This window comes from Homo sapiens, chromosome 12 (genome assembly GCF_000001405.40).
Source record: "Homo sapiens chromosome 12, GRCh38.p14 Primary Assembly".
Lineage (NCBI taxonomy): Eukaryota > Metazoa > Chordata > Mammalia > Primates > Hominidae > Homo > Homo sapiens.
The window spans coordinates 96916222-96937078 of record NC_000012.12 but is presented as its reverse complement, the minus strand read 5'-3'; the positions used below and the strand labels follow the sequence as shown (position 1 = coordinate 96937078).

Here is a 20857-nt window from a genome sequence, read left to right as displayed (position 1 = left end):
TGCTGGCAGACCTGAGTTTCCCTCTAAATTAAAATGTCTTTTAAAATACTTTTAAAAAGAGAGATATATAAGGAGAAAAAAAAAAGAAAAAAAGTTTTAAAACTAAATATCAAATGGCTTTGTACTAAAATTATTATACATTACATGTAAAATCATTATGTAATTATGAAACAAAACTATACTGTTTAATTGACCACATATAATTTCCATATTCTGAGTTAGATTTATTTAATAAAATAAAAAATGCTGAAAAGAAAATGTCTCACCTTAGTAAGAACAGTGGAGTACTGAAATGCTATACACTGCACAGATGTCTTGTGAGCACTGATGGTCTTAACTGGTGATTTCAACATTCTTAAATCATATTGATATATTTTCCCCCGGGAAGATCCAATAGCCAAAGTGGCTCCATCAGGCATGAAATCTACCGCAGTTAGAGGAGTGTCAGCCACTAAAGTTTTCACTAGCCTTTGGAAAGGAGAACAAAGTATGTGTAGAAATGTTAGTGTGTACAGGTATATTAGCTTATATAAGTAACTATATACCAAAACCAGAGTTATTAACACTTCAAACTGGTCAAAGAGCACACATATCCCAAATATTTGTTTAAAGCATAATTTCAGAATTTGACTTAGAGACATTTCTAATAAAATGGCATATAGAGAACTGCTAAACATTCCATCTTACTTTTCTATTCACTTCCAATAGGTACATTCTGCATCTTATAGAAGCAGCACCTATTTCTTTAATTATTACTCTGACAGTGAATGTAGCAGAACTGTCTATTACGCCACAAACAGGGGCTCTGGCCTCATGGTTGAGGAGGGCCTAAGTATCCACTTTCCATTTATTGACCTGCTTAGGCCTCATGAGGACTATGACCTTTCACAGGGGAGCAGCTGTTACTTTGTTCTTAGTTGTACAGTCTTGGCCAAAAAGCTAAGAGGAACACAGTTCACATGCTTGATCCTTAGGAAGCTAATAAAGAAATACGGATGGTGATCTGCTGAAGCTGAGCTCTTTACTGGTGTGTATAGTAGAAAAGAAGAATGGCTTACTGGGCTCTCAGTAAATTGTTCCATAAAAGAAGACAGCAAATAAGTCCTAACAGTAAAAATTCTAGCATCATAATAAAGGCTGACAGTGGGACCTTCCCTTGTAGTAACATTCATACTCCACATGATCTACAGACAGTGGTAAGCATCTTGAATACAACTGTATCACTCTTGCATTCTTTTGTTTTTGTTTTTGTTTTTTAGCTAACTAAGCATACCTAAATTTAACAAGAAGAGGGTACAGTGGGCCCAAATGCTTAGAGGATTATGTACACCAGTACATAATCAGTATTTCTCAAGTGGGTGCTCCCAGGTTGTCCCTGGTTACTACCAGGGGACATCTGACAATGTCTGGACACAATTTAGGCCATTGGTATTTAGTAAGCAGAGGCCAGGGATGCTGATGAATATCCTACAATACCCAGGACAGCCCCTCACAACAAAGAATTACCCAGCCCAAAATGTCAATCGTTTCTAAACCTTCCTCTAGATAATTAATCAGTTTTAAAGCAAATTAATCATTTGGGTTAAAAACATATGCATTTTATCATATTGTGGAAAAGATGCTAAAATTAAAATGTGAAATCATTAAGATGTCATCTCTCTATGTTCATGTTTCAGAAGTACCCTAAATACTACCTGCAACCCATCTATTTCTTTCTGCATAAGAAGAAAATTCTTTCTTACTAGATCCATCAACTGTACAAACTTTAGGACCCCTGGACACTAATCAGAGGTCTATATAAATCACAAATATGCCTGTTAATGGAATAATAGCTATTTGTTACTAAATTAAGAAATAAGCATGTCACACTTACTTCTTACTTGAAGTGTCATAGAGGATGATTCTTTTATCCAAGCCTATGGTTACAAAGAGCAATTCATTGACAGGAGAAAAACAGATGCCTGACGCTGGAGCTTTGTGTACACTGTCAAAGTTATGGTATGGACTCTGACTATTTACATCCCAGAGAGTTACTATTCCATTATCCGAAACACTGCCCAGTAGTGATTTCTTAAACAAGGAGTACTTCAAGTGCCGAACAGACTATAAAAATGAAAGAATAAATTTTATGTAATTATAAGCATTCATAAGGACATTTGATATAAGCCATATAAATTATGGCCAACCACACTATTCACATGGGGTTTAGGATTTCTCTGATGTGTAAGAGTGACAGGTTTCAGCCAGACGTGGTGGCTCACGCCTGTAATCCCAGCACTTTGGGAGGCCGAGGCAGGTGGATCATCTGAGGTCAGGCGTTCAAGACCAGCCTGCCCAACCTAGTGAAACCCCATCTTTATTAAAAATACAAAAATTAGCTGGGCATGGTGGCAGGCGCCTGTAATTACAGCTACTTGGGAGGCTGAGGCAAGAGAACCACTTGAACCTAGGAGGTGGAGGCTGCAGTGAGCCAAGATCACACTATTGTACTCCAGCCTGGGCGACAGAGTGAGACTCTGTCTTAAAAACAAAACAAAACAAAACAAAAAAACCCAACTCTGTCTTAAAAAAAAAAAAGAAAAGAAAAGAAAAGAAAGGGTAACAAATTTCAATCATGACAACCACGGTGTCATTCAGTGGACCATAAGATGACATACCAATACCTGAAACATACCAATCAATAGCCTATTAATATTTGTCATTTTATTATCTTGGAGTATAGCTACCTCAATCTTCTCCTTTCAGAGGAAAAATATAATACATTGAGATTATCTACATTAATTCATCAGGGTTAGAACATCCACCATATATAAAAGGCCTTGTCACAGTCAAATCAACAAGTATAAGGGAATACTGGGAGAAAAAAAAAAAGCAATAATATTTTGTATTTGTTTTCTATATTTTAGATATTTTGATACATTTGTTTGAATCTGAGCATCTGATGCACTGACAATTCAACACCTGAAGCATAATTTAAAAAAAAATTAAACCACAAAGGAAAAACTGGCAACACTCTAGACTGGGGATGGACTATATCCATTGTTTCAAAACCATTAGCCTGAGGGCAATGCTGGCCTTTCTCTAAACACAAATCCCTGCAGGTAGTGGAGATATTCTCTCTTCCTAGCTTCCATGGACCAGAATAAACAAAGATCTAGTTTGAATAAACTGATCTTAGACTAAAACTAACTGAATTTTATCTACTTTTCTTTTTTACTAAAATGTTACTGTCAAACTTGTATTGATGTTGTCATTTACTAGGCGGAAAATTAAGTACTTTACATTTAAGCTAATTTTTCCCTATGAATTTATATTCTACTTAATTCTAAAATGTCTCAAATAATATATATTAGCTCTCAACAACAACAAAAAATGTCTAGGAAATACAGAAACCAAATGCTAAGAAAAAAAAACAAAAAGGAGTTATTAGTCACCTGGCACCTAAGTTAAGACAATTAATATGTTAACCCATTAAATTTGCCCATTTTCATATGGCTAAAGTACAAAGAGAAAATGTTGGTTTATATAATTTTTATTTTTGTTGGGAAAAAGTATATCCACTTGAATAGTCAAATCTTTTCTCTGGTCCATATTCAAGAAAAAATAAACTACATGAATGTTAACTATATAAAAGACACAGACCTACTTAGTGCATTATGTTAATGATTACAGAGTCATACACAACATATCAAAATATAAGGCAAAACATGATTTCTAAAAAGATTTCTACAGCACTTTAGGAGTTCATATAGTTATCGTCCTTCACATGATCTAAATTTAGACTAAATACACAAGTAGAATTTTTAAAAACACCATAAAAATCACAGACCTGGTAGATTCTCGAAGTTCATAAAGTTTAACCTCTTAGCAACAGCAGGAATTTTCCTACAACATCCTTAAAACATGGTTATCCAGAATCTGTTTGCATCTATCAAACAACAAGGAGCTTACCACTGTCTTTAACACAACTTGATAACCAGTTAAAAATGTATTCTTGATCAAGACAAAACCTAAATTCTGTATCTTACTTCAAGTTCTTGGGACCTACATGGCAGACTATTTAAAAAAAAAAAAAAAAAGGCTAAAGATAATGATAAATGTTCCCTTCAGATAAACCTAAGTTCAGTGGACGCTCAGCAAACCTCTGTATGATTTAGGTGAATTACTTAAACTCTCCAAAACTCAGCGTTCTCATCTACATAATAGAAAACACTCTTGTTTTCCTGACACAATTATTTTGAGGATTAAATAGCATTTCTGTACAGAATCAGGTACACAGTAGCCATCACCATTTCCAGAAGTTCATAACTTACTTGCTCATCATTGCTTATGTACCCACCATTCAACCATCTTTTACATATTTTTTAAAAGACCCTTAAGTAACCACATTGAATTCTTTAAATGTCTCCAATTATTTCTGTGATAATACTAACAGAATTTCATTTCTTAACTTTCTATATCTGTTAAATCTTCTCTTTAGAATATCATTAAGATATTAGCTAAGAATCCTGGATAAACAAAACACTGATTTACTAAATTATATATATATAATTTATATATATAAATATATTTACTTGTGTGTGTGCATTTTATATATATATATATATATATATATTTTTTTTTTTTTTTTTTTTTTAAGAGACAGGATTTTGCCATTTTGCCCAGGCTGGTCTCAAACTCCTGGACTCAAGCACTCCACCTGCCTCAGCTTCCCAAAGTGCTGGGATTACAGGTGTGAGCCACCGCACCTGGCCTCCAAATTATATTTAAAATAAATATTAACTTATTTCAGTATCAGCAGCACTTAAGTCATTAACTCCCTATCTTGTTCCAGACTAAATTATTTATAAGAAAAGAATTAAATCAAGAAGCTTATGGGGGGGAAAAAATCCCGGCAGTATAAGCAGCAATGCTATTTTTTCTTATACCACATTATTGTGTAAGAATGTTGCATGTTTGTGGAGGAGGGAGATTGTTTCTAAATATAAAAAACATACCACTCACTAAAGGTGGGGGGAAGGTTTCAAAAACTTATTTAGAAGTAGTTACAGACAATATATAGATGAAAAGCATGGCTGTGTTCCAATAAACTTTACAAAAATAAGTTGGCTAGACCATAGGTTATAGTTTTTCAGTCTCTACTAAGATAATTATTTAATAGAAAAAAATTTTTTTTATCACAAAGAAGAAAAACCATCCATAATCCCACTACCCAGAGAAAAAGTGGTTGACATTTTGAGGGGGTATCCTTTAAGTATTTTTCTGTGTGTATGTATGCTTCTGTGTATTCAGTAGAGTATCAACAGAAAACCTGGAATCATACTTCATTATAAACAGCCATGTCAATGTTTTCTACTTGATTTTAATAGCTGTTTAAGATATGAATGCATGAGTATACTAATTTACCTAAATAATATCATGTTAGACATTTGGGTTACTTCTGATTTGCAAGTACTCTGATTACTATCCTTTTTTAAAACTGTTAATTTATGAAAAAAATTGTAATTCATTGATGTTCATGCCTTAAAGGTTCTCAGTTGAAAATATGAAATGACTATTTGTCTTTCTTCTTTTGCAAACTGCTCATTATTCTACTTTGCCTATTTTCTATTGGGCTATGAAGATTTTTAAAATACTAATTTGCAACTGCTCTTACATTGCAACTGCTCTCATACATTGTAAATACCTTCCCTATTTCATTTAAATTTTGTGAATTTTTGCCTTGCTTTTTGTCAGAAGTTTTAAATTTTTATATATTTATATTTATCAAACTTGTTGCCAGTGACTTATAACTATACTTCTTTATATTTATGCTTAGAAAAGCCTTCCCTTTGCACAGATAAGAACATACATTCACATCATTTTCTTACTAGGCACTATAAAGCAGTAAGAAATTAATACAAACATCTTAACATACATATGAACATACACACATATATATGGCCATAAATATAGTGTTCCTTTGACTCCATCCTATCTTCTTGATTCCCAGGGCCTTACATCAAGCACAAATCATCTGTCACCTAAGCCACTACATAGTTATCCCATTTCCATTCTCAGTGGCTTACTATCCATCCTGCACTCTGTTGCAGTAACTAACATCTTCAAACCTGAAAAATCTCAACATATTTGTCTTTTGCTTAAAATCCTTTCAATGGGAGGTCTCTGAGAAGTTACTGGTTATGGTGGTGGCAGAGTTTCTGAATGACCGTCAATACTGTGAGTGCATGTGTACGTGTGTGTGCATGTATGTGTGTGTATGTGTATGTAGAAAAGCAGGCCTGAGACTGTCTATCTTTAAAAAGTCCCACACTCAGGGTTGGTCCTTGGCTAGCATCTGCGAACTTGGGTTTTGGAAGGGGTCCCACTGCCTTAACTCGTAAGAGTGGCTCACTCACTCTGCCTAAACTTATTTGTGATAGATATGGTTTAAGGCTGAACCACAGCTGAACACCTAATTTCCTTCTGGGAGTTTGGAATTTTGGTATGTGTTAGGCAGTGGACTCCTAGATATAACCAGCCCCCCCAATAAAAACCCTGGGCACTGAGGCTCTAACTAGCTTCCCTGGTAGACAACATTTCATATATGTTGTCACAATTTGGTCCTGGAAGGGGTTAAGCACATCTACTCTAGGAGAAGACCCTTGGAAGTTAACATCTGGTTTCCTATGGCCTTCACCCCATGCACTTTTCTCTTTGCTGGTTTTGCTTTGTATTCTTTCACTATAAAATAAATCATAGCCATGAGTATGACTATATACAGAATCCTGTGAGTTCTCCTAGAGAATGACCAAATCTGGTCTTAGAAATCCCCAACACAGCATGTGAGAGTGTGAGAGAGAGAGAGAGAGAGAGAGAGAGAGAGAGTGTGTGTGTGTGTGTGTGTGTGTGTGTGTGTGTGTGTGTGTGTGTGTGTGTGTGTTTTACAACAGATAATAAACTAGATGACCAAAAACTAAAATCCCACGGACAACATTTACAACAAACTAGATGATGAGGTATCCCCATGAACCCCCAAACACATGCTGAGAGGTCAAACAATTAACAGCCATAAGTCCTTCATGGTACTGGTGTCTGTGCAGAAGGAAGTAGAAGGAATAACAAGGAATCTGTGACAGATCTGAGAACAGAAGCAGCCCATAACAGCCAAAAGGTATTCACAGAAAAGCATGGTGGCCAATTTTACAACCTCAGTCAAAACCCAGAATATCCACTTCATTAACAGGTCTGTGCTACAGGTTTGCAGGAAGGTCAAGACAAGAGCAGTTTAGCCAGAGAATTCCAAAACTGACCAGCCAAAGTGTGTCCCTCTCAGGTCAGAGCCCCACACTGAGGAGATCTGCTAGAAGTGGAAGCAAACCTGAACAGGATGGAGGCAACAAAGGTTCACAGACAGGTGGAAAAGTAGAGCAGAGTCAGGGAACCCCAGAAAGCAAGCAGCCATTAAAAAAAAAATATATATATATATATACACATATGTGTGTGTGTGTGTGTGTGTGTGTGTGTGTGTGTGTGTGTGTGTATACATGAAAACAATAGGGAGCTCTGTGAAGTTAGAAAAGCCACTTTGACCTCCTTTTGTCTAGAAGTTCAGGGAAGCTAAAACTAATTTCACAGATATATCCCACACAAACTTATGAAAACAAAGAGAACAAGGAGAAAAACGTTCTCAACAGAAGATCAGAAAGAAAAAAAAAATACAAGACATTAAGGAAAAAAAAAATACAAGACATTAAGAAAAAAAACATAAATTTAAAACTCAGAAAAGAGATGTCAGAACTTGGGAAAGAATTAGAAATTTTTTAAATCTCTTCAAAAATGAAGGCTAATTTAGAAGGAATTCAAAAATGAATAAACACAACAGACAATACCTTAAAGACAGGTTAAAAAGAAATTTTTAAAAATCAAAAAGAAATAACAAAAAAGTTTAAAAACACTTGAGAAAAAATGATAAACCACTGAAGATAAGCAAAGAAAATGCAACAACAAAAAATCCAAAGAGAGAAAAAGAATACTAAAAATTATAATTTAAGAAAAATTTCCAAAAATAAAAAAAGACTTGAAACTACATATTAAGAAACACACTATGGGCCGGGGGTGGTGGCTCACGCCTGTAATCCCAGCACTTTGGGAGGCCGAGGCGGGCAGATCACGAGGTCAGGAGATCGAGACCATCCTGGCCAACGTGGTGAAACCTCCATCTCTACTACAAAAACTACAAAAAATTAGCCAGGCGTGGTAGCAGGCGCCTGTAGTCGCAGCTACTCGGGAGGCTGAGGCAGGAGAATGGTGTGAACCCAGGAGGCGGAGCTTGCAGTGAGCCCAGACAGTGCCACTGCACTCCAGCCTGGGTGACAGAGCGAAACTCTGCCTCAAAAAAAAAAAAAAAAAAAAAAAGAAACACACTATGTACCTAACAATAGCAATACATAATGACCAACATCAAGACATATTCTAGAAAAATTACGTGGCTTTAAAGAAAAAAAAAATTCCTTTGAATAACCTAGGAATAAAAAACTAGTGACTTAAAAGGGTTTCAAAAGCTATGAAATCACGTCACACATTTGAGACCAAAGATAATAGGGTAACACTTAAGCTCCTTAAAGGAAATGTAAGCCTGCTACTAAATTACATTGAAAGAGAACTTGTACTCTCAAAGAAAAGAATCAAAAATCAGAAGATACATACTTATGAAAACAATATTAACATGTGCTCATTTATTATAAAAATTTGGAAAATAAAACAATAGAGGATTTTTAGGTAAATGATGGCATTGAATAATGAAATACATCCAGTCATTAAAAATTATGGTTATGAAGACTAATAATATGAGGATACCCAGGGTAGATCACTAATGAGAACAGGCAGAAAACATGATTGGACAAACAGAATGAGTATAACTATATGGACAGAAGACAGAGCTATACATAGAAACACTGTTAGAAAACATCTTTCAAATAGCTTTCTACTGAAGAAAATTTAGAAGAGAAAAATAGAAGGAGAAAAGTCTTTAAGAAGAAATATACAGATTATCCATTTATTTTATGCCTACATGTCAATTATAAAATTGCTCAAGAACATATTATATAGGCTAGTCAAGTGTATACCAATACTACAGAAATATATAGAGAATCAAAGAAATGTTATCATATAAACATTTTATACCAATGCTCCTATATAACATAAAAAAGACCACTTCTAGATAAAAAGTCTTTGTAGTCAAAGTTTTTGAGTGCTGCAATTCTGGTATAAATATAACCAGTCAATGAAATAAACCAATTTAGAATAGATTCATTCTTGAGAAAACTATTATTTCTAAAAATGTAATTAATATTTACATTTATCAGATCTCCATACTCAAGCAGACTATTAATGCTTACAAAATCTATACATAAAACATTTCATTTAGGAAAAGCAAATGGATTTAACATATACTGAATAACATATACTGAAATGTCACAGAAAACCTACATTTAAAGATCATTTTTTAATCTAAGGAATCAATACAATAGATTGACATTTGTAATTGCTTTGGAAAAGGCTGCAGCTTGAGAAAGATAACACAAGTTAACCTATTTGTGAGCCTAAGATGCTAAACTTGCTAAAGAGTGACATGCAATTATAACCTAAGTAGTCTGTCAGCCCGGGAGTTCTGCAGAAGCAGCAAGGCTCTTTTCCCCTGTAGAAAGACACTGTGATCCACATAAAGCTAATAACTTTAATTCAGCTCAGACATTTCAAAGTTGGATTCTAAATATACTCAGGAAATCTTATTTCAATATATACAATTCAGTATGATGCAGATTCTGTGAGATTCCACATTCCTATCACTTTCACTAAGACACTAATTTGATCATTTTTAAAGATTTGAAATTTGTGATTGTTCATAGAAGCAAAAGTAGAAAAATTTTTAATTTAATCATGGATGTGCCCTATTTACCATTTTTCTCAATAAGTAAAATTGATCACAGAAATTGGCCTAAGTAACAGACTGAATTCAATTATGTCAACTTTTTGACAGATTTGAAATTTTTATGAACACTGTTTAAATGAACATGATATATATTATACACACACACACACACACACAATTTTTTTTTTTTTCGCTCTGTCACCCAGGCTGGAGTGCAGCAGCACAGTCATGGCTCACTGCAGCCTCAACCTCCCAGGCTCAATCTCTCCTCTCACCTCAGCCTCCTCAGTAGCTAGGACTATAGGCGCGCACCACCACACCTGGCTAATTTTTGTATTTTTTGTAGAGATGGCGTTTCACCATGTTGCCCAGGCTGGTCTCCTGGGCTCAAGTGATCTGCCTGCCTTGGCCTCCCAAAGTGCTGGGATTCCAGGTGTGAACCACTGTGCCTGGCCACGATATTTTTAAACTGAACTGAATTTTGAGAAATCTTAACAAAACTTTTTTTAATTAATAAACATTCATTAAGTAGCAATTCGATGCTTTGGGCCACAATCAGATAAAACAGGCAGTACTGCTTGCAGGAAAAAAAACTAATTTGAAAAAAAAAAAAAATTCCAAAGGTTTAAATTATGCTGCCCATAAAAGGAAAACATAAGTATGTAAAATCATGAAAACTGTCTTTCCTCACTAAGAAAACTGGGACTGCATCCTTACCAGCAGAAGCCAACTTGCATTTCCTAGCCCATGTATTCTGTTTTAATGGTATAACTTATTGAAGAAAAATGAAATAAAATGGTACACAAAACAAATATAACCATTTGTTCCAGGGAAAGGGGAAAAAAACCAACAGACTCTAGTCAAATTTTTCACCCTCTTTAATGCTCTCATTTTTAAATCAGTCTAAAACACAAAATATGATCACTGGGGTCAAGTTGCAACTGGGTTTGGAGGGAACACATTAAATCTAAAGATGCTCAAACCATTTTAGAGAAGTAAATCACAAAAGGTATTTTAATGGATTGGTATTCATTAAAAGCTCACAGTAATAGCTAACATCCACTGACCTCTTACCAAATGGTAGGCAATGTGATAAACACACTCACCATCTCATTTAGCCATCAAAAAAAAAAATCCCTTTGAAAGTATATTATTCTCACTTGAAAGATAAGGAAAAGGAGGCTTGAGAGTTAAGTAACTTGTTCAAGTTCACTGAGCTAGCTAAGGTGCTTTACTCCTAGTGCTCTCCAAATAAATGTGGGACTTACCACGTAAATCTACATCAGAAGATCCTACAGAGATGCAGAATGCCCAAGCAGGAGGCAGCAGGCCCATGAAGATCTCAAGTTCTAGTTTATCTGATCTTAGATAAGAGATAAGCTTTGAGCATTACTGTTTTCCTAAACTAAAAGATATATTTAATTCAGTTCCCTGTGCAGTTATCAATGAAAATCCTTTCAAAATTAACAATACAGCAACCTATCACATAGAATTTTAAAAGATACTGGTGTGAGGAAGAGGTATAGGTACATGTTGGACTCCTGCACAAAGAGACAAGAAAATAGTGTAAAGTTTCCAGAAGCTTTTCACCCTCAAACCCTTATATATTCAGCTGCTCCTGAGCTAGATATGCAAAAGAAAATGCTACCACTTCTGAAGAGCTGATATGTAAAATAGTCAATTAAGAGTTGTATGATCTGAAAGTCCTGGAATCTGTTTTCTCATTTGTAAAATGAGAACATATACCTCACAAGTTAGTAGCAAAGATTAAACGAGACAATGTAATTCAATGCAATGATCACAGTGCTGAAACACAATAAATGGTGGTAAGCATTCTATGCTGTGATAACCTCTGCTTACAATGCTCTCCAAATCCTCTCACCACATTCTCTGGTCCCTCCCCAAAAACCCAGGTCTGAATAACTTGGACTTTTCCTCAGGCTACCACTGAGACATCATTTCCTTTAAAATGCTTTTCCATTCTTCCCAAATGGCTTAGGTGTCTCTCCTTTAGGTTCCCTTGGAACTCCGCAGTTTATTGCTTTCACAGCACTCAACATTCTGTTTGGTTAACTGTATACTTATTGCTTATTGCTACTTTCATCTAGGATGAATAAATATGAATTATAGGAGCTAAATGATGTAAAACTTCCAACATAAATAGTAAAATCTGCCCACAATATACAGCACCCTAATAAGATAAAGGATATCTACAAAACAAACCTTACAATGACTATCATGCTTGGTAGTAAATTGAATGCTTCTTCCAGAATTTGGGGACAAAATAAAGATGTCCACTATCATCACTTCTATTCAACACTGGATTGGAGAGCCTAGTCAACGCAATAAAGAAAAAGTAATAACATATATAAAGATTAGGAAATAAGAAATAAAAACTTATCATTCACAGATGACAGCCATGATAGTCTATAAACTGTAAATACTACAAATTCTTTCAAAAGAATCAAGACTGTCCAAACTATTAAGTGAATTTAGCAGAATTTTTGGATAAAATGACAAAAGACAAATATGAACTGTGTTTCTCTCTACAAGCCACAAAGAATAGGAAAATAAAATTTAACAAAAAATGCAATTAGAAATGTATCATCAAAAAATCAAATGCATGGTAATAAATCTACTAAAAGATATGCAAGCCCTCTACAGTAAAAACAAAGCACTGCTAAGAAAAATTAAAGGCTTAGATAAATAGATAGTTATACCATGTTCATGAAAGAATCAATATTGTTAAGATAGTAGTTGTTCCTAAATTGGTCCATAGATCCAATATAATCTTAATCAAAATGAAGCAGATTTTTTGTTAGAAATGGGCAAGCTGATTCTAAAATTCAGCTAGAAATGCAAAAGGCCCATAGTAGTCAAAGTGAACTTAAAAATATCACGATCTACCATAAAGCTACAATAAGCAAAACTAGTAACAGTCAAACTAGACCAACGGAACAAAATAGAACGACTACAACTAACATATACAGTTACCAGTTTTGCAAGAAGGCATTAATGTAATTCAGTGGGGATAGGTTGGTCTTTGTAATAAATAACATTGGTACAATTAGATATCTATAGGACCCTCTTTCACACAATACACAAAAATTAACTTGAAATGGATCATAACAAACATAAATAAGAAAGATAAAACAACAAAGCTTCTAAAAGAAAACACAGAATAGTATCTTCAAAATCTTGGGGCAGGCAAGATTCTTCAAGAGAACACAAAAAGCAACAAACATAAAAGAAAAGACTGACATATGAGACTTCATTAAATTTAAGAACTTCTGTTCACTAAAACACACACACACACGCAAACAGGCATACAGTTTCACACACACACACACACACACACACACACACACACACACACAAACAGGTATTAAGGAGTAAAACAGCAAGCCATGGCTGAAGGAAGATATTTGCAACATGCATATCCCCAAAATGAATCTACCTGCAATACATAAGAAATTATAAATAAATTTTAAAAACACGAATAACCCAACATAAAAATGGGCAACAGACTTGAACAGTCACTTCACAAGAGGCATATAAAAATATACTTAACATCATTCAACATGGACAAATGCAAATTAAAACCACCATGAGACAGCACTACATAACCATCAAAGTGGCAAAAATAAGACAGATAATGCCAAGTATTAGCAAAAATGTGGAGCAACTGGATCTCACAGCCAGCTGGATTTCACTTTAGAAAATGTTTTGGCAATTTTTCATAAAGTAAAACTGTATGCCTATGCTACAATCCTGCAATTCCACTCCTAAGTATTTACTCAAAATAAATAAAAACATGTATCTTAAAAAAAGACTTGTACAAAAATATTCACAGTAGCTACCTTGTAACAGCTAAAACAAGACAATTCACTGCTCATCAACAAAAGAATGGATAAATGGTGGCCCATTCATATAAGGAAACACTACACAGAATTAATACAGTATGAACTACTATTCCATGCAACAAAGCAAATGTAATGATGACTAAAAGAAACCAGACACATATGATTCCTTGCTTTTTTTTTTCTTTTGAGACAGGGTCTCACTCTGTCACTGAGGCTGGAGTGCAGTGGCACAATCAGAACTCACTGCAGCCTCAACCTCCCAGGCTCAAGTGATCATCCTGCCTCAGCCTCCCAAGCAGCTGGGACTACTGGCATGCACCACCATGCCTGGTGAATTTCTTTATATTTTTAATAGAGATGAGGTTTTGCCACATTGCCCAAGGTGGTCTTGAACTCCTGGGCTCAAGGGATCTGCCTGCCTCAGCCTCCCAAAGTGCTGAGATTACAGGTAGCCACCGCGTCTGGCCCACATATGATTCCTTTCATAAAATATGAGGTAGTGACTGGAAAAGACAAAATCAAGTCCTCTGGTGTGCTGGCAATGTTCTATATCTTGATTTTGTTAGTAGTTACACCAATGTATTTACGTATACATAAAAATTCAACAAGCTGTACACTTAAGATATATGCACTGCACTTTATTGTAAGTTACACCTCAATTGTTTTAAAAAATTTAAATCTTTTACACAAAATTAGGCCAAAAGGTATAGTCAAACCTAATGTTTTCAGGAATATTCCTTCATGTCTGATTTTAATAAGAAAACTCTCTAGCAAGATACAATAAGCATAAAAATTGAAGTATAAGAATATACATAGTAGTATCTGGTCTAATTTTTATGGTATTGAAAAGTCAGTCCAAAATTTATAAATTTGTCATGCTTCTAACACACACAAAAAAAGAAAGTTACTCTATGTCCTTAAAAAAGATATTTGAACATTAATGATTTTTTTCACAATAGTTCCAAAGTTTATAGGCTTAGACTTTATGTCTCTCTTTATCAAAATATAAATAAAAAAGAAATCACCAAAACAAAATATAATAAGTTCCTGCTTTTATGACAATATTAGCACATTCTAAAGAGCATCCCTTTGGCAAATCATTTATCTTCATCCATAAAATGCAGAAAGCGAGATTACCTCTAAAGGCTATTTTTAATGTTCAAGGATTCTATGATTCTGACATTCAACTAATTAAAAACTCTGATTAATTTCCCTAAATACCTCCCAAAACAAGTCTTTTGTGTGACATTCAGTCTTACATCAATACTATATTCATATTTACCCTTTTCCAATCTTTTCTCACATTGGTCCTATATAAAGCCCATGCAATTTTCTTTCTCCTTATTTTTGTTAATGTGATTTCCTCCATGTAAAACATCCCTCTCCCAGCTGGGTGTGGTGGCTCATGCCTGTAATCCCAGCACTTTGGGAGACTGAGGCAGGAGGATCACTTGAGGCCAGGAGTTAAAGACCTGCCTGGACAACATACTGAGACCCTGTCTCTAATATTAAAAAAAAAAAAAAAAATTAGCCAGGCTCCCACTTGAGCCCAGGAGTTGGGGCTGCAGTGAGCCATGATCATTCCCCTGCACTCCAGCATAGGCAATAGAGTAAGACTCTCTAAGAAAGAAAAAAAAAAATCCCTCTTCTAAAGCTTTATATTTGCCTAACAAAATCTTTGTCATCTCTAAAAATATTCATACATTCAAATATTTATTATACATCTTCTCCATGTAAGGCAAGAAACTAGAAAATAGACTGAGGACAAAGAAACAGGCCATGGTTCCACCAATAATGTGGACACGTGAAAAAGACTAACCCTGGCTGGGTGCAGTGGCTCATACCTGTAATCCTAACACTTTGGGAGGCCGAGGGAGGTGGATCACCTGAGGTCAGGAGTCCAAGACCAGCCTGGCCAACATGGTGAAACCCCATCTCTACTAAAATACAAAAATTAGCTGGGCATGATGGTGGGTGCCTGTAATCCCAGTTACTTGGGAGACTGAGACAAGAGAATCGCTTGAACCCGGGAGACAGTGGTTGCAGTGAGCTGAGATTGCGCCACTATACTCTAGCCTGGGCAGCTGAGCGAGACTCCGCCTCAAAAAACCAAACAAACAAGCAAAAAAAGAGTAATCCCAATACAAGTTAGAAACAAATAATTGGCAAAGAGGCCAGTTTATATTGTCATAGTAAAAACAAAATCAATAAGCCTTAGACGTAGCTGAAACTCCCCAACCCTTTCAATTTTCCCTATTTTATTCCCAGATAGTCTTCTCTCAGCTGTTCTGAATCACCATAAGACTGTTTTATATCACTTACTCATAATACCATTTATATATCTGTATTATTCCCCAATATATATGAAACTTAAAAAAGACTTTTTCCTGTATGCTTTTCATATCCACTAAATTTTTTAAGCACTAAATACTATTCAAGTAATAATTTAAAAAAACTACTTCCCAAAAGTGAAGATCTCCCATATTTTATAATAGTTATGGCCAAAGAGATTACAATTAAGTAAAAATTGAAAGAACTTGCACCTCATGGGAAATTTCTATGGCGAATCTTATGGAAAGTCAACCAAGAGTTAGGTTCCTTGAAAAACTGAATTTATTCTTTTGAACATTTTTTATAGAGGAAAAAAATTGACTTATTTTCCTTTTAAAAAGTTTCCCAAAACACTCTTATATTAACCTGAAATATATAAGCTTCGATACTTTATCATATATCTACAAAAACAAAAATGCAAAACTTAAATTACTCTCTGCCTAAACACACTCAATCATTCCATGTCCACAAAACAGTATTTATGAGTGTATCTGTCTTGCAGCTGACAAAATCTGAGCTATGTGACACATTTCTATAACAGTAATGCTGTAGAAAGATTAATATCCATTTTTTACATTTAACCTATTAACAACTATTTGTATTTTATTATGCTGTATATAGTTATAGTCTAGAAGGATGTGACTATTTGATTACATAATCAAATTTATATAAGCACCATAATCTAGTATGAATTAGCTTGCTATCTGAATATTTTAAAACACTACCATTTAAAAATAGCTGAAGTTTTTCAATCAAGCATTTCAAAAACTTAAATTCACAGTCTTATGTAAGATACAATTCAAAATCTATCTTACCAATTTTACTCTGAATAAACTCATACTGTACCTGGTTACTACCATGGCCAAAAGGAGTACTAGATAAATTAGTGGTTACACTGTGTAAAATAATTTCACCACTAAGAGATCCAGAAGCAATGTAGCAATCATTCCAATTGTATGTTACACAAGTTACTTGATCTTTATGATCCTGAAAGAGAGAAATGAAAGTAAGTACACTGCCCCATAATCCTCGAACAGCCCATTTTCATGTTTCTGTAAATACCATACATTATGTATTTATCAATCTAATATTTGCTTTAACATTTTCCTCAAATATACAGAGAATTATTTTCAATAATGATAAAAATGGTCCAGGCACTTTACGAGAGAGAGAGATTATGGACAGGTAATTTTCTACATGGCATTATGTCTTCCTTAAAGAATTCACTTCCTCTGACAAATAACAGGTATTGCAAGTTGACTATTTTGAGTTTCTGCTTTAACATGAAAATGGCAGAGAATATGCTAAATGAATGATGGAAGCAAAGTGTCAGAGGAAAGAGAAAGAGCTACTGTGAATGAAGTTGGCAGAGGAAACTTTATGGAAGACATAAAGCTGGAGTTCAACCTTAGAGAAAAGAGAAAAATCATGGGAAGGGGAAAGAAACCAGACATTGCAAAATGGAGGAGTGGGAAAAACAAATGAGCAAGGCATCTGTGAGATAACAGAAACTGCTTCCATTTGCTGAGAACCTACTAGTGCTGGGAGCTTTATATATTATTTAATGCTTAGAAAAGCCTGAGGGGCAAGGTCATTTTGCCCATTTTATAAATGAAGTACATGAGACACTGAGAGGTTAAGAAACCTGCGCAAGCTCACGTAACTGCTAAGTGACAGGGCCAGGACTCAATTCCATGTCAAACTCCAAAGCCTCTCTTCCTTCCACTATACCAGGCTGCCTCTCAAATCCAATTAGGAATACACTTTGAGGAAGTAAAACTTTCAGGTTTTAAACAAACTGAGTTCACAAGGACTATGTTTTCCAACATCAAATTAGAGATGTCCAGCAGGAGAGAAAAGTGACCAAAATTGGGAGAAGAGTTTTTAACAGGAAGATGCCATATCTCAATAATACAAACAAACTAAGCCCTGTATCTAATAATTATTTATGTAACAGCAAGAATAATAGCTATGATATTCCACTTATATTACAACTTTTTCAAGTGGTCCTTCAAGTATTTTCAGAGATTTCTTTACCTATTATTCCTTTCCCAAAACCAAGGAACACTTGCTATCTTGAGGAAAAAATGTTTGATGAAAAGAAAAAAGGAAGAGCAGACGTTCTGGGTATCGTTCCCATTTGGGAAATTAAGAACATGGGGTCCAATGTAATTTCTATGACTTTATAAAGAGGCAAGTGTCTTCCTAATTTCAACTGTGGAGAATAAGTCATTCAGCAAACATTTACTAAGAACCTACTAAGTGCCAGAAATTGTGTTAATCACCAGGGAGACGACTGTAGAGATCCAAAGGTAAAAGATTAGATTTCCCACTATCACAAGTAGTCAAAATATTCATTAACAGAATGAATGAGGGAGCTAAACATTACGAATTTCACACCGAAAAGACAGAAAACCATCCAGAGTAATTGAGAAAGCTGAAAATGGAAAAAATCATCAAATTTTGCCATGCAGGGATGGGGTAAGTGAAGCTTACATGGGAGATGGATTAAAGAAAGTTCTTCCTCTGTGTATGTGTGTAGATATAAATATGTTTATATTTTTCATATTAAAACTTTTTTAAGACAAAAATTAATTTTAAGATCAACTTCTAAATATTAAAAAGACAATATAATGAAAAGTAGAATTCCAAAAAAAAGACCATAGACTTTCTTGTGCTGAATATTTTTATTTTCTGAAACTACAAAAAGCTAATTATTAAAGAAACATTAATTGTAAATAGTAAATTAGTTTACAAAATATTACCAAGTTAAAAATACAAACACACACACACAAAAAAAAAACACAAACAAGAGCAGCCAAATATACTACATAACTAAAAAGCTGACCCAACTCTGATTACTGTATTGAATACTATCATCACAAAACAACTCTCATTTTTTCCACCTGGCCCTAAGGAAAGATCCCTGATGACCACACACCATAGTTTAGGAAAAAATGAGTGAAGTGGTTCATTCAAATAAGAGTAGAACTAAATAAAAAACAAGAAAAAAGTTGTAAATGTTGATCATATGCATTAATGCTACACATGTAAGAAAAAAGACATAAAAATAAGTTTTTGGCTAAATAGCACCTTTATTTTCCCTAACAAATCTTAGTTCAATTCTGAAGCCTCTTATTTTTATCATAAAAGCTCAAAAATAAAAGCTTGGTAAGTACTCTAAATGCATTAAGATATCCATTTTTTCATGAAGATTTTTTTTAAATTGCTTACCTTAAGAGATCGATGAACTCTTTTTGATTTTAAATCCCAAATATTAACAGTGTTATTTAGGCCTCCGCTTACCAAATACATAGATGTAGAATTTAAATTGACACATGTCTGCTTTTGCTATTTAAAAAAAAAAAAAAAAGTTACCTTAATTTAACAGAGCCCAGAGCTGACTTTCAGGTCTCATCCAACACTTAGTAAGCATATGATAAATATTGGTTAAATTAAATACTATAAACATGCTAATCTTGTACTAAAGAGCCACTCTCTCATCGTCTTTCTTCCACATGGATCCAACAGCTTTTAAGGGGGTCAAAAATGCTTCAAGGAAATCAAATAGATTTGCATTCACTTCTGTGGACCGGTGACGACACAGGAAGCTTAGAAAACACTGGCAGTCCTGGTCTCCCATCAGGGCTTGTTTGCCCATCCTATCTCCTCTTGATAAAGCCTGCTCTTGTATTTCCACAGAATATCCTACATTAAAATCAATCCCCAGCTCAAAAATGCTAAAAATAGAAGAGACTTTAAAAGAATTTCCAGTGTACAGCCCTCATTTTACCGATGGGATAAGTTTTTTTTTAAAGAAGTCAAGATACTTGCCCTAAGTCTTCCAGCAAATCTCCGTTAAGGAGACCAAGTCTCAGACATCAGGTCATCAAAGCCTGACTTCAACTGTTCCCCATCTCTGTAAAGACACCATCCAGTTTCTCAAGATAAAAACCCAGAATAACCCTTGATTTCTTGTTCTCCCTCCCCTCCAATCTATCAGTAAGCTCTCTAAACTCCAACCCAAGAATGAATCCCACATGGGCTCCCCTTTATCTATAGCTACTACTAACACTAACCCAAACCTTACCAAACTACGACAGCAGCTTCCTAACTGGTTTCCCTGTTTCCACTCCTGCTCTCCTATATTCCATCCTTCATAAGTAGGGTGGACTTTAAAAATGTAAATCAGATCATGTCTCCTTCCATACCCAAATGACTATAAATCATGCTGCTATAAAGACACATGCACACGTATGTTTATTGCGGCATTACTCACAATAGCAAAGACTTGGAACCAACCCAAATGTCCAACAATGATAGACTGGATTAAGAAAATGTGGCACATATACACCATGGAATACTATGCAGCCATAAAAAATGATGAGTTCATGTCCTTTGTAGGGACATGGATGAAATTGGAAACCATCATTCTCAGTAAACTATCGCAAGAACAAAAAACCAAACACCGCATATTCTCACTCATAGGTGGGAATTGAACAATGAGATCACATGGACACAGGAAGGGGAATATCACACTCTGGGGACTGTGGTGGGGAGGGGGGAGGGGGGAGGGATAGCATTGGGAGATATACCTAATGCTAGATGACGAGTTAGTGGGTGCAGCGCACCAGCATGGCACATGTATACGTATGTAACTAACCTGCACAATGTGCACATGTACCCTAAAACTTAAAGTATAATTTAAAAATAATAATAATAATAATAATAATAATAATAAATCTTCAAC

The 20857-nt window shown here is 34.8% G+C and overlaps 1 protein-coding gene across 10 annotated transcripts in view; it reads right to left on the bottom strand.

Annotated features, from left to right (window-relative positions):
• NEDD1 (NEDD1 gamma-tubulin ring complex targeting factor) overlaps window positions 1-20857 on the bottom strand; it is a 46524-nt gene that overhangs the window by 16702 nt on the left and 8965 nt on the right. For 7 of the 10 annotated variants that reach the window (NM_152905.4, NM_001135177.2, XM_005268644.3 and 4 more), the window contains 4 exons: window positions 19342-19458; window positions 16954-17094; window positions 1874-2103; window positions 267-468 (listed from right to left, as the gene is read on the bottom strand). In NM_152905.4, coding sequence (NP_690869.1) covers window positions 267-468; window positions 1874-2103; window positions 16954-17094; window positions 19342-19458 — 690 coding nt within the window. Of the gene's footprint in view, window positions 1-266; window positions 469-1873; window positions 2104-11181; window positions 12097-12136; window positions 12247-16953; window positions 17095-19341; window positions 19459-20857 lie in introns of those variants that run through there. The other 3 variants (XM_047428288.1, XM_047428289.1, XM_047428290.1) reach the window with 3 other exon arrangements.